Source organism: Homo sapiens, chromosome 2 (assembly GCF_000001405.40).
Source record: "Homo sapiens chromosome 2, GRCh38.p14 Primary Assembly".
Classification (NCBI taxonomy): Eukaryota; Metazoa; Chordata; class Mammalia; order Primates; family Hominidae; genus Homo; species Homo sapiens.
Window position 1 is genome coordinate 199,169,253 of NC_000002.12, and position 15,747 is coordinate 199,184,999.

Below are 15,747 nucleotides of genomic sequence, written 5' to 3' on the forward strand. Positions count from 1 at the left end.
AAAGTTCCATGGACATAAAAACATGTTCTTTTCATTGCATAATACCTAAAAAACAGACTGATGAGGAGGACTATAGCTGCCCTTTAAACCTTTCAGAAAAATCATTTAACTTTTCTTGAACATAAGAGAGCTAAGTTCTCAAGGTAACAAACCAGCCTCAAAGTTTAAAAAAGACAAATGCCTCTGAGGAGAGTCAAACATAAACCCTGGCCAGGTGGAGTAGAGTATGGGAGGAAAATAGGATGCCACACAAAGGGATAAAAAGATTTTAGCTTAAAGTTTATGATGAATTGCTAACAGCTCAGTGTGAACTTACCTGAAAGTATAGGAGCCCCTGGGAGCCACAGACATAAAGAGTGTTTGTACAACTTCACAGGCTCTTCTCCACCACCATCACCACGTACTAACTAATGAGAGAGTATAATGCCAAAGGGGCAGGGCGAGAGACCACAGAAAACTTCCCTTGGCCCATGTGCTTGGGAGACTGGAGGGGTAGCCTCCACTGCCGGAGAGGCAAAAAGCCCCATCTAGAGCCTTTCCCGCTATCTCTCTTACCGAATAAATGCCTTAAGAGCATGGGGAAAAGGCAGGGCACAGGTAGGGCCCAACTGCAGCTAGGAGAAGCAGACAGGAAAACAAAACCAAAAACTCGTACCACTGGGAAAGGAGGAAGGAACCATCCTGGGCTCTGACCATTCAAGATCTCTTACGACTGAGGGAAAGGCAGAAAACTTTTTCCCCACAAGATCTACCAAAGGTATAAGGCTATCATACGGATAGCAGGGAGTATGGATATCATATGAAAGAGGGGCAGAATCATTTGGAAAATTCCACTCTTGAGACCCAGGTTCACAGGGCCTGCCTAAGACTAGGAATAAAAAAAGGACAACAGAAAAGGCCCTTTTATCTCAGCCCCAACACCAGGCTAGCTAGCATTAAGTATCAAGTAAAAGTAGTCTACCACTGAAGGAGGGGCAAGGACAGAGAGAAAACCTACTCAAAGTTATGGGCTCCTAGGGAAGACCAAAAGTTGAGGCAGAACATGATCATTGAGAAATATCCGAAAGATTCAACCCCCAACTTAACTACAAGATAGCCCTGGAGGAAATTTGAAGACTGTAGTACAATGAAGGTAACCACAGCAAAACAAACAAACCCATTTCAACTTCTGCCTACACTGACTTAACGTACCCCACCACAACAATAGAGAGGCATGCCCATTACTCAGGCATAAATACAATTTACCAGCGTCTCTATTGTCCTAAACACAATGCCTGGTTTCAATCAACCAAAAATTATAAGACTATAAAAAAAAAAAACCCACTGTTAAGAAGCAAAGGAGATGTGATCCAATTGTTGAAACCGTCAGACAAAGAATTTAAAATAAATTACTGTATTAAAAGTTCTAGTGGAAAATGTGGACAACATGCATGGACAAATGGGAAATTTTAGCAGAGTGATGAAAACTAATAGAAAGACCCAAATAGAAATGCAACAGTGAAAAATCATAAGTGATGAAGAATTTCTTTGACAGGTTCCTCAGTAGATTCAACATTGCCAAGCCCATGGAGGAAAAACAATTAATGAACTTAAAGATGAGTAAATACAAGTCACCCTATCTGAAATATTAAAGGAAAAAATAATTAAAAATACAGAGCAGAACATCTAAGAGCTATGAAACAATATCAAGAGGTCTAACACATGTGTAATTGGAATCCCAGTGTACACAAGAAAGAATAGGGAATGAGAAATATTTGAAGAAATAATGGCCAACATTTTCCAAAAATAATAAAAAAAATCAGACTACAGATTCAAGAAACTCAGAGAACACTACGAATCACCATCCTACCACCACTTAAAAACCCTTCACTTGGACACATCATATTCAAACCACTGAAAAACAAAGATAAAGTGAAAATCTTGAAGGCAGTCAGAAAAAAACACGTATTACATGAGGAAGAATGAAGATAATAATTACAGCATATTTCCTTTCTGAAACTATGCAAACCTCATAGGATGAGTTGGAAAGTATTCTCAGCTCTTGTATTTTATGGAAAAGTTGGTAGAAGAATAATATTACTTCTTTAAATACTTGACAGTGACACTGTCTGGAATGGGAGAATTCTTTGTTGAAAAAGTTTTACTATGAACTTAATTTTAAAAATAGATATAGGACTATTCATGTTGTTTTTCTTGAGAAAATTCTTAAGCCTTCAGAATTTGTATCTGTACACAATGGACTCTGAGGACGGGGGAAAGGGTGAGAAGTGGGTGAGGGATAAGAGACTACAAATTGGGTTCAGCCTGCACTACTCAGGTGATGGGTACACCAAAATCTCACAAATTGCTAAATACTGCCTATTCCCCAAAAACCTATGGAAATTAAAAAAAAAAAAAATTTAAAGAAGATTAATTAAAAAAGAAATTTGTAAAGAAATTTGTTCATTTCATCCAATTTGTCAAATGTATTGCCATAAAATTTCTTATAAAATTTATTTATTATCCTTTTACTGACTTCATGGTCTGCAGTTCTCTCTTTCATTTCTATATTGTTGGTTTGCCATCTTTTCTCTTTTTCTTTGGTCAGTCTGGTTAAAGACATCAATTTTATTAACCTCCTCAAAAACCAAAGTTTTAGATTAGTTGAACCAGGTTGTATTCAAAGGGAGGGTTAGAAATAGCTTACTCTGATGAGGGAACAATGAAGCTGAAACTTGAGAGAGGCAATGAGTGCAAGTGTCCTAAAATGAATAAGAAATTGGGGAGTTCTAGGAACAATTATTTAAAAAAAGAAAGAAAGCAACAACAACAACAATGTGGGTGGAGTGTGGAAACAAGAGAGGAGACTGTTGCAATACGAGGCCTGGTAGGAAAACAGAGGCTATACGACACTGTTATATATGGTAAGGATTATACGGTAAGGATTTACATAGGAATTTATACTGAAAGCAAATGGAAGACACTAATGGATATTACATAGCAGAGTAACATGATAAGTTCATTTTGAAAAGCTCAGTCTGGCAGTAGGATGGGAAATGAACTGAAGTTGAGGAGTAGAAATGGAGAAGAATAATTAGATGCTTGTTACAGCAATTTAGGTGGGAGTAGGAATTTAGACTGGAAGGTGGCAAAGAAATTGAAAGATTCAAATGCTGATAAGTAATGATTGATTTATGATTGACTTATTGATTTATTTTTTATTTGTGGTAATAAATAGGACATTTATTTAGCACTTATTACATACCAGGAATTATTCTAAGCATTTTATGTGAGTTAATACAAGACCATGCAACTAGTACTAGAAAGAGCAGGGATGAAAGCCAGGCATAGCCTATGCTCTAAGTTCTTGCTCTTACTGCCTCTCAGATGTTAGGATTAAAGAAAGGAGAAAATATAAGGATGAATCTCTGGTTTCTGTGTTAAGTGACTGGGTACTAATTACTGAAATAAGAAACATGAGAGAAAAACCATGTTTTGGAAAGAAATAATAAACTCAGCTTTAGATAAAACCAAGAGAGACATTTTATCACAATCTTAATAAATCCAAATCTGCAAGGACAAATGAGGAACTCCTCTTTATGGTGTCATGGTAAAGAGTTCATTCATATACCCTGGAAATTATTAAAGGACATTTAGTTAAATATAAACATAAACACTGTCATGTCCCACATAATGACATTTCAGTCAACAGTGGACCACACATACTATGGTGGTCCCTGTAAAGTTATTATGGAGCTGAAAAATTTCTATCACCTAATGATTTCTTAGCCATGGTAACCTTGTAGCCCAGGGCATTACTCACATGTTTGTGGTGATGCTGGTGTAAACAAACCTACTGTGCTGCCAGTCATATTAAAGTATAGCACATACAATTATGTATAGTACATAATACTTGATAATGGTAATAAATGACTATGTTACTAGTTTATGTATTTACTATACTATTAATCTTTATTTTAGAGTACACTCCACTAGTACAACCACTTTGGAAAACAGTATGGAAATTCCTTAAACAACTACAAGTAGAATTACCGTTCCATTCAGCAATCCCACTGGGCACCTACCCAAAGGAAAAGTCATCATATGAAAAAGAGATATGCACACACATGTTTATAGCATCACAATTCACAGTTGTAAGGATATGGAACCAGCCTAAGTGCCCATCAACCAAGGAGTGGATAAAGAAAATGTAGTACATATTCACTATGGAATACTATTTGGCCATAAAAAGGAATGAAAAGTCTTTTGCAGCAACTTGAATGGAGCTGGAAGCCATTATTCTAAGTAACTCAGGAATGGAAAACCAAATACCCTATGTTCTCACTTAAAAGTGGGAGCTAAATTATGAGGATGCAAAGACATAAGAATGATGTGGACTTTGGGAACTGAGGAGAATAACAGTCAGAGGGGAGTGAGGGATAAAAGACTACATATTGCATGTATACTGCTCAGGTGAATGTTTGCACCAAAATCTCAGAAATCGCCACTAAAGAACTTATCCATGTAACCAAAACCACCTGTACCCCAAAGCTATTGAAATAAAAATAATTTTTTTAAAAACAATTATACGCCTAATACTTTAAAAAAAAAAGTTAACTGTGAAACAGCCTCAAGAAGGTCTTTCAGGAGGCATTCCAGAAGAAATCATTGCTATCACAGGAGATGACAGCTGCATGCGGGTTATTCCCCCTGAAATGGGGATGCAGAGGTAGAAGACAGTGATATCAATGATTTTGACCCTCTGTAGGCCTAGGCTGATGTTGTACGTGTGTGTGTGTGTGTGTGTGTGTGTGTGTGTGTAACAAAAAAAAAATTTTTAAGTGAAAAATAAAAATAGAAATAGAAAAATAAAAAAACTTACAGAATATGGATATAAAGAAAGAAAATATTTTGGTATAGCTATACAATGTGTTTGTGTTTTAAACTAAGTGTTATTATAAAAATGTCAAAAAGTTTAAAAAATTAAACATAAAGTGAAAAAGTTATAGTAAGCTATTTATTACTGAAGAAAAACAATTCTATAAACTTAGAGTAGCCTAAGTGTACAGTGTTTATAAGTCTCCAGTAGTGCACAATAATGTCCCAGGCCTTCACATTCATTCACCACTCACTCACTGACTCACCCAGATCAACTTCCAGTCCTGCAAGCTCCATTCATGATAAGTACCCTACAGACGTACCATTTTTTACCTTTTAAACCATATTTTTATTGTACCTTTTTATGTTTAACAATGTTTAGATGTGCAAATACTTGCCATTGTGTTACAATTGCCTAGAATATTCAGTACATCAACAGATTTGTAGCTGGGAGCAATAGGCCACATCACATAACCTAGGTGTTTAGTAAGCTACACCATCTAGGTTTGTGTAAGTACACTCTATGATGTTCACACAATAACTAAATCACCTAATGACACATTTCTCAGAACATATTCCCATCATGAAGTGATATAAGGTTGTAATTAATTATAGATATAGATGTAGATAAATTACCAAGGGTAAACAAAAAAAATGCTTCTTTGGAGTTTCAGTTTTGGTAGCTTATATAGCACTAGTCTTCTTGCAATTATAAACTCTGGACAAAATATTTTAAAAATTTTGAAGGTAATGGGGAGTGACCAAAAGAAGGTAGAAATTGAAGGGGGTATGACCTTTGAAAAACTGGAACCGTATTAAATGAAATATATGCTTAATAAGCTTATCATCTGAGTTAACTCCTCAGGTCCACACTGCACATGATGTCTAGAAATGAAGCAGAAAGGTACAGTCTTTTAGGTATAAAGAGTCTGAAAAAGGTGAATGGTACTTCCGGAAAAGTTATAAAACTGGGGAGACATTTTAGAAAGAAAGAATAAAAATGGAAAGCTTTAAAATTGCAAATAAATTATCTCCAAACCCTGAAAGATGCCTAAGCTGTGCATAGTTGAAACGCCAAAGAGTTCAAGGGTAAATAATATTTGTAAGTCTGAAAGGTGTAACCAGAATTTTCAGCTGCTGCCCAACACAGGAAAGAGAGAGATTTGGATGCACATCCTTCTAAGTCAGAGGGTCTTGGTAAACACCCTGGTCTTTCTATTGAAATCCCAGAAGAGCCATGTCTCAGAGTAAAAACTACTTTCCCAAAACTAAGGAATTCCCTGTAGGACTAAGGAAAATACAAAAAATAGACCTACCCTCGAAAAGAGAAACCAAGCCTCCACTTACTGAAATAAACTGCCAGTAATTTAGCTGCATACTAGAATATAAATTAACACTCTTCAGAGAAAAATAAAAAATCCAACATCTCAACAATGCATTGCCCAGAGTATCCAAAATATAACAAAAATCACTATATAGGAAAATATGACCTGTAGTCAAGGGAAAAGTCAGTTAAAAGAAATTTACCAAAAAATGGACAAGGAAGTTAAAATAACTATGATTAATATGTTACAGTGTATAGGGCATATAATATAATGGGTGAAACTACGGGGAATTTTAGAAGCAATTTGGAAAAGTTACAAAAAATATAAATAACTGAAAAAATATAGTATATTAAATAAAATAATATTATATGAGATTAATAGCTGATTGAACAGAATGAAATAATACATCAGTAAACTTAAAGACAAAATAAAGCACAGAAAGAAAAGAAAATTAGAAAAAGTTGAACAATGCATCAAAAGCATCTAATATATGTGAGTTTCAAGAAGTCTAATATATGTGATTGCAGCCAGAAAAAAAGATGTGAGAGAGAGGATGGGGTAGAAAAAAATGAAGAACTAATAGCTAATTTTTTTTCCAACTTTGATTCATGAAAAATGTCAGCACACAGATCCAAATAACTGAAAAATTTTCAAGCAAGATAAACCTCTAGCTTGACTCTCTGATAGTGGGGGGAAAAGAAATAAAATAAATATTAGCAATAAAAAAAGATCTACCAGATACTAAAAAGATAAAAAAAAATTCTAAACAACATTATGCTAATAAATTCACCAATCTAGATAAAATGAATTTTTAAAAAACAAAAATTTGTGTTCAAAAGTGCTAAAAGAAAATAGAAAATCTGAATAGTCCTCTATCTAATATAAAAATGAAACTCATGATTAAAAACCTTCCTATAAAGAACACTAGGAGCCCAAATGACCTCGCTAGTGAATTATATCAATGAGCTAAGGAAAAATTATACCAATGTTACACAAACTCTTTAAGAAATGAAAGAAAGTGGGACCAGTTCTCAACTAATTTTATGAGGCCATCATAATCTTTACAACAAAACCAGACAAGAATCATTGCTAAAAAATAAATTACAGAACAATATTTCCCATAAATGTTGATGCAAAAAATAGTTTTATATATAATACAATTTTTATTTTATATATACTTGATTTACTAATATTATTAGTAAATATTAGTAATATTAGTAAATATATATTAGAGATATATAAATTAGTATATATACTAATATAAATAGATACATATTTATTTATACATATTCTAATATAGAGAGATACATATCTATTTATATTACTATATATTACTATTTATATGATATTACTATTTATTACTATTTCTATTATTATTTATAGGTATATGTATATATAGTCATATAGTATATATAGTATTTATGGGTATATGTATATATAGTAATATATATCTATATTACTATATTATCTTACTATATATCTATATTACTATATATACACATACTAATATATATTTATATTACTATATATTACTATTTATAGTATTACTATTTATACTATATTACTATTTATTACTATATACATTACTACATATACTTATATATATGTATATCTATATCCCTCCCAGTGGGATTTAATCCAAGAATGTAAGGTTGGTTCAATATTCAAAAAAATCAACAAACATCACAATCGATGTGGAAAAGCTAATGCAAATTTTGACGCCCATTCATGATTAAAACTCTCAGCAAACTAGTAACAAAAGGAAATTTCCTCAGTCTAATAAAGGAAAAGGCATCTATGAAAAACCTATAACTAACATTATACTTAATGATTAAAGACTGAATGCTTTCCCCCTTCTAAGATTAGTAAAAAAGTAAGCATGTTCACTCTCACTACTTTTATTAAACATTGTACCAGAGGCCCTTGGCAATGCAATAAGGTAAGAGAAAGAAATAAAATGCATAAACACTGGAGTGGGAGAAATAAAATTGTCCTTATCTGCAGACAATATAATTGTATACATAAAAATTGCTAAGTAATCCAAAATAATCTATTAAATCTAGTAAGAAAATTTAGTATATTTGCAGGATACAAGGACAATAAAAACCATTGTGTTTCTATATACTAGCAACAACAAATGAAAAATGAAATTCAAAAGCACCATTTATAATAGTATCAAAAAACCATAAAATACCCAGGAATAAGTTGAATATAAGCTGTCCAACACATTTACTCTGAATACTACCAAATAATGTTGAGAGAAATTAATGAAGACTCAAATAAATAGTGAGATGACCCATGTTTATTGATTGAGATAAATAGTATTAAGATGTAACTTCTCACTAAATTGATCTTTAGATTCACGGAATCTCAATAAAAATCCTAACAAGTTTTTGTAGAAACTGACAAGCTAATTTTCAAAATTTATGTAAAAATGAAAAGAGCTAAGATAGCCAAAACATCTTGAAAAAGTAGAATAAAGCTGGAAGACTTACACTATCTAATTTCAAGATTTACTACTATAAAGCTACAATATCAAATAAGTGTTGCAATGACATAAGAATAGACAAATATATAAGAGTCTTGAAAGAGACCCACCATCTTATGGTGAACTGGTTTTTACGTATGTGCCAAAACAATATATTTGGTGACCAAAGGAAAGTCTTTTCAACAAATGGGACTGAAACAATCGTGTATCCATATAGGAAGAAAATTGATCCTTGACTCCTACTTCAAACTCTACATACAAATTATTTTGAGATGAATCATTGACATAACATTAAAGATAAAACTATAATGCTTTTATAAAAGAAATTGCCTTATATTTTCACAAACATAAGGTAGACAAAAAATTTTCACACAAGACAGATAGAATGGACCAGAGGAAATTTTGAAAAATGAGAATTCATCAAAATTCAAAATTGCTCATCAAAAGACATTACTAGTAAAATGAATAAGCTAGCCACAGACAGGGTAAAAGAATTCATAATACCTACGTATTATGAATTTAGGAAATTTCATAATATGAATTTAGGATTTCATAATTTCATAATTCATAATTTCATAATTTATGAATTCATAACATGAATTCATAATTTCATAATTATGAATTTAGGATTGTATTTAGGAAATTTCTAAAACTTGTACAGCCCAGTAATAAAACAGGCAACCAAATAAAAACAATAGGGAAAGACACTTCATAAAAGATATAAAAATAACCAACATGTACATAAAATGTTTTCAACATTATCAGTTGCCAGGAAAATGCAAATTAAAACTACAATAAACTATTCCTGCCTATCTGCCACAATGGCTAAAATTAAAAGATTTGTCTACCAAGTATTAGTTATGCTGTAAAACAACTGATACTCTAATATGTTGCAGGTAGAAGTGAAAAATGGTATCATCACTTTGGAAAAGTATTTGGTAATTTTTTATAAAGGTAAACATATACAACCCAGTGACCCAACCATTCTACTTCCAGCTATTTACCCAAAAGAAATGAAAACTTATTTCTACAAAAGTTTGTACAGAAATGTTTATAGCAACTTTATTTATAACAGGCCAAACTGGAAATAGCCAAAATGCCTATGAACAAGCAAAAGGTTAGCAAACTGATACACTCATGCCATAAGAAGAAACAAATCACTGACACAGGCAACATGGATGAATCTCAAAATCGTGTTGAAAGAAAAAAGCCCAACAAAAAGTATGATTCCATTTACCTAAAGTTTCAGAAGAGGCAAAACAAAAATCTGATGATAGAAATCAGAATAGTAGTTGCGTGGGGTGATTGGAAGGGAGAATGGAGAGTGATGGGAAACGAATCACAAGGGAGCTTGCTGGGGTGATGGAAATGATCTAAATCTTAATTGAGTTGTTATTATATGGGTACACATTCATCAGTCTTTGAACTCTATCATTAGTATCTGTCAGGCCTCTGAGCCCAAGCCAAGCCATCGCATCCCCTGTGACTTGCACCTATATGCCCAGATGGCCTGAAGTAACTGAAGAATCACAAAAGAAGTGAAAATGCCCTGCCCCGCCTTAACTGATGACATTCCACCTCAAAAGAAATGTAAATGGCTGGTCCTTGCCTTAAGTGATGACATTACCTTGTGAAAGTCTTTTTCCTGGCTCATGATGGCTCAAAAACACCCCCACTGAGCACCTTGCGACCCCCAACCCTGCCCACCAGAGAACAAATCCCCTTTGACTGTAATTTTTCTTTATCTGCCCAAATCTTATAAAACGGCCCCACCCCTATCTCCCTTCGATGACTGTCTTTTCGGACTCAGCCTGCCTGCCCCCCTGTGAAATAAACAGCCATGTTGCTCACACAAAGCCTGTTTGGTGGTCTCTTCACACGGATGCGAGTGAAATTTGGTGCTGTGACTCAGATCAGGGGACCTCCCTTGGGAGATCAATCCCCTGTCCTCCTGTTCTTTGCTCGGTAAGAAAGATCCACTTATGACCTCAGGTCCTCAGACCGACCAGCCCAAGAAACATCTCACCAATTTCAAATCCGGTAAGCGGCCTCTTTTTACTCTCTTCTCCAACCTCCTTCACTATCCCTCAACCTCTTTCTCCTTTCAATCTCGGCACCACACTTCAATCTCTCCCTTCTTTTAATTTCAATTCCTTTCATTTTCTGGTAGAGACAAAGGAGACACATTTTATCCGTAGACCCAAAACTCCGGCGCTGGTGATAGACTGGGAAGGCAGCCTTCCCTTGGTGTTTAATCATTGCAGGGACACCTCTCTGATTATTCACCCACGTTTCAGAGGTGTCAGACCACGCAGGGACGCCTGCCTTGGTCCTTCACCCTTAGCAGCAAGTCCCACTTTTCTGGGGGAGGGGCAAGTACCCCAACCCCTTCTCTCTGTGTCTCTACCCCTTTTCCACCTTTCTGGGGGGCAAGAAACCCCCAACCCCTTCTCCTTCACCCTTAGCGGCAAGTCCTGCTTTTCTAGGGGAGGGGCAAGTACCCTAACCCCATATATCTCTGTGCCCCGATCCCTTATTTCTGTGCCCCAACCTCTTATATCTCTGTGCCCCAATCCCTTATTTCTATGCCCCGACCTCGTATCTCTGTGCCCCGACCCCTTTCCCACTTTTCTGGAGGGTAAGAACCCCCAAACCCCTTCCCTCCATGTCTCTACTCTCTCTTTTCTCTGGGCTTGCCTCCTTCACTATGGGCAACCTTCCACCCTCCATTCCTCCTTCTCCCTTTGCCTGTGTTCTTAAGAACTTAAAACCTCTTCAACTCTCAAATGACCTAAAATCTAAGCATCTTATTTTCTTCTGCAATGCCACTTGACCCCAATACAAACTCGACAGTAGTTCCAAATAGCCAGAAAATGGCACTTTCAATTTTTCCATCCTGCAAGATCTAAATAATTCTTGTCATAAAATGGGCAAATGGTCTGAGGTGCCTGACGTCCAGGCATTCTTTTACACATTGGTCCCTCTCTAGTCTCTGTTCCCAATGCAACAGATCCCAAATCTTCCTTCTTTCCCTCCCACCTGTCCCCTCAGTCCCAACCCCAAGCATCGCTGAGTCTTTCTAATCTTCCTTTTCTACAGACCCATCTGACCTCTCCCCTCCTCCCCAGGCTGCTCCTCGCCAGGCCGAGCTAGGTCCCAATTCTTCCTCAGCCTCCGCTCCTCCACCCTATAATCCTTTTATCACCTCCCCTCCTCACACCTGGTCCGGCTTACAGTTTCATTCCATGACTAGCCCTCCCCCACCTGCCCAGCAATTTACTCTTAAAAAGGTGGCTGGAGCTAAAGGCATAGTCAAGGTTAATGCTCCTTTTTCTTTATCCCAAATCAGATAGCGTTTAGGCTCTTTTTCATCAAATATAAAAATCCAGCCCAGTTCATGACTCCTTTGGCAGCAACCCTGAGACACTTTACAGCCCTAGACCCTAAAAGGTCAAAAGGCCGTCTTATTCTCAAAATACATTTTATTACCCAATCTGCTCCCGACATTAAATAAAACTCCAAAAATTAAATTCTGGCCCTCAAACCCCACAACAAGATTTAATTAACCTCGCCTTCAAGGTATACAATAATAGAAAAAAGTTGCAATTCCTTGCCTCCACTGTGAGACAAACCCCAGCCACATCTCCAGCACACAAGAACTTCCAAATGTCTGAACCACAGCGGCCAGGCATTCCTCCAGAACCTCCTCCCCCAGGAGCTTGCTTCAGAAATCTGGCCACAAGGCCAAGGAATGCCTGCAGCCCAGGATTCCTCCTAAGCTGCGTCCCATCTTTGTGGGACCCCACTGGAAATTGGACTGTCCAACTCACCTGGCAGCCACTCCCAGAGTCCCTGGAACTCTGGCCCAAGGCTCTCTGACTGACTCCTTCCCAGATCTTCTCGGCTTAGCGGCTGAAGACTGACACTGCCTGATCGCCTCGGAAGCCCCCTAGACCATCACGGACGCCGAGCTTCAGGTAACTCTCACAGTGGAAGGTAAGCCCGTCCCCTTCTTAATCAATACGGAGGCTACCCACTCCACATTACCTTCTTTTCAAGGGCCTGTTTCCCTTGCCTCCATAACTGTTGTGGGTATTGACAGCCAGGCTTCTAAACCTCTTAAAACTCCCCAACTCTGGTGCCAACTTAGACAATACTCTTCTAAGCACTCCTTTTAATTATCCCCACCTGCCCAGTTCCCTTATTAGGCTGAGACACTTTAACTAAATTATCTGCTTCCCTGACTATTCCTGGATTACAGCTACATCTCATTGCTGCCCTTCTTCCCAATCCAAAGCCTCCTTTGCGTCCTCCTCTTGTATCCCCCCACCTTAACCCACAAGTATAAGATACCTCTACTCCCTCTTTGGTGACCGATCACGCACCCCTTACCATCTCATTAAAACCCAATCACCCTTACCCTGCTCAATGCCAATATCCCATCCCACAGCATGCTTTGAAAGGATTAAAGCCTGTTATCACTCGCCTGCTACAGCATGGCCTTTTAAAGCCTATAAACTCTCCTTACAATTCCCCCATTTTACCTGTCCTAAAACCAGACAAGCCTTACAAGTTCGTTTAGGATCTATGCCTTATCAACCAAATTGTTTTCCTAACCACCCCATGGTGCCAAACCCATATACTCTCCTATCCTCAATACCTCCCTCCACAATCCATTATTCTGTTCTGGATCTCAAACATGCTTTCTTTACTATTCCTTTGCACCCGTCATCCCAGCCTCTCTTCGCTTTCATTTGGACTGACCCTGACACCCATCAGGCTCAGCAAATTACCTGGGCTGTACTGCCGCAAAGCTTCACAGACAGCCCCCATTACTTCAGTCAAGCCCAAATTTCTTCCTCATCTGTTACCTATCTCATCATAACTCTCATAAAAACACACGTGCTCTCCCTGCCAATCGTGTCCGACTGATCTCTCAAACCCTAGCACCTTCTACAAAACAACATCTCCTTTCCTTCCTAGGCATGGTTATCGTGGTCAGAATTCTTACACACAAGAGCCAGTACCACACCCTGTAGCCTTTCTGTCCAAACAACTTGACCTTACTGTTTTAGCCTAGCCCTCATGTCTGCGTGCAGTGGCTGCCGCTACTTTAATACTTTTAGAGGCCCTCAAAATCACAAACTATGCTCAACTCACTCTTTACAGTTCTCATAACTTCCAAAATCTATTTTCTTCCTCATACCTGACGCATATACTTTCTGCTTCCCGGCTCCTTCAGCTATACTCACTGTTTGTTGAGTCTCCCACAATTACCGTTGTTCCTGGCCCGAACTTCAATCCAGCCTCCCACATTATTCTGGATACCACACCTGACCCTCATGATTGCATCTCTCTGATCCACCTGACGTTCACCCCATTTCCCCACATTTCCTTCTTCCCTGTTTCTCACCCTGATCACACTTGGTTTATTGATGGCAGTTCCACCAGGCCTAATTGCCACTCACCAGCAAAGGCAGGCTATGCTATAGTATCTTCCACATCTATCATTGAGGCTACCACTCTGCCCCCCTCCACTACCTCTCAGCAAGCCAAACTAGTTGCCTTAACTCAAGCCCTCACTCTTGCAAAAGGACTACGCGTCAATATCTATACTGATTCTAAATATGCCTTTCATATTCTGCACCACCATGCGGTCATATGGGCTGAAAGAGGTTTTCTCACTACACAAGGGTCCTCCATCATGAATGCCTCTTTAATAATAACTCTACTCAAGGCCGCTTTACTTCCAAAGGAAGCTGGGGTCATTCACTGTAAGGGGCATCAAAAGGCATCAGATCCCATTGCTCTAGGCAACGCTTGTGCTGATAAGGTGGCTAGACAAGCAGCTAGCTCTCCAACTTCTGTCCCTCACGGCCAGTTTTTCTCCTTCACATCGGTCACTCCCACCTACTCCCCTGCTGAAACTTCCACCTATCAGTCTCTTCTCACACAAGGCAAATGGTTCTTAGACCAAGGAAAACATATCCTTCCAGCCTCACAGGCCCATTCTATTCTGTCGTCATTTCATAACCTCTTCCATGTAGGTTACAAGCCGCTAGCCCGTCTCTTAGAACCTCTCATTTCCTTTCCATCATAGAAATCTATCCTCAAGGAGATCACTGCTCAGTGTTCCATCTGCTATTCTACTACCCCTCATGGATTGTTCAGGCCTCCTCCCTTCCCTACACATCAAGCTCGAGGATTTGCCCCCACCCAGGACTGGCAAATTGACTTTACTCACATGCCTCGAGTCAGAAAACTAAAATATCTCTTAGTCTGGGTAGACACTTTGACTGGATAAGTAGAAGCCTTTCCTACAGGGTCTGAGAAGGCCACCGCAGTCATTTCTTCCCTTCTGTCAGACATAATTCCTCAGTTTAGCCTTCCCACCTCTGTACAGTCTGATAACAGACCAGCCTTTATTAGTCAAATCAGCCAAGCAGTTTTTCAGGCTGTTAGTATTCAGTGAAACCTTTATATCCCTTACAGTCCTCAGTCTTCAGGAAAAGTAGAACAGACTAATGGTCTTTTAAAAACACACCTCACCAAGCTTAGCCACCAACTTAAAAAGGACTGGACAATACTTTTACCACTTTCGCTTCTCAGAATTCAGGCCTGTCCTCGGAATGCTACAAGGTACAGCCCATTTAAGCTCCTGAATAAGACACTCCTTTTTATTAGGCCTCAGTCTCATTCCAGACACCAGAGCAACTTAGACTGTGCCCCAAAAAACTTATCATCCTTACTATCTTCTGTCTAGTCATACTCCTATTCACTGTTCTCAGCTACTCATACATGCCCTGCTCTTGTTTACACTGCCAGTTTACACTGTTTCTCCAAGTCATCACAGCTGATATCTCCTGGTGCTATCCCCAAACTGCCACTCTAAACTCTTGAAGTAAATAAATAATCTTTGCTGGCAGGACTATGCTGAATCTCCTTAGGCACTCTCTAATCAGATGTCCTGGGTGCTCCCAAGTCTTAGACCTTTTATACCTGTTTTTCTCCTTCTCTTATTCCATTTAGTTTTTCAATTCATACAAAACCATATCCAGGCCATCACCAATAATTCTA

The 15,747-nt window shown here is 37.9% G+C and overlaps 1 annotated feature.

Moving 5' to 3' along the window:
• Positions 9,916-10,504: an enhancer, noted in NCBI's record as "OCT4-NANOG hESC enhancer chr2:200043891-200044479 (GRCh37/hg19 assembly coordinates)". NCBI's record gives its function as "activates a minimal SCP1, AML or CMV promoter by ChIP-STARR-seq in primed H9 embryonic stem cells {active_cell/tissue: H9 hESC(primed)}" and the evidence as "EXISTENCE:reporter gene assay evidence [ECO:0000049][PMID:30033119]".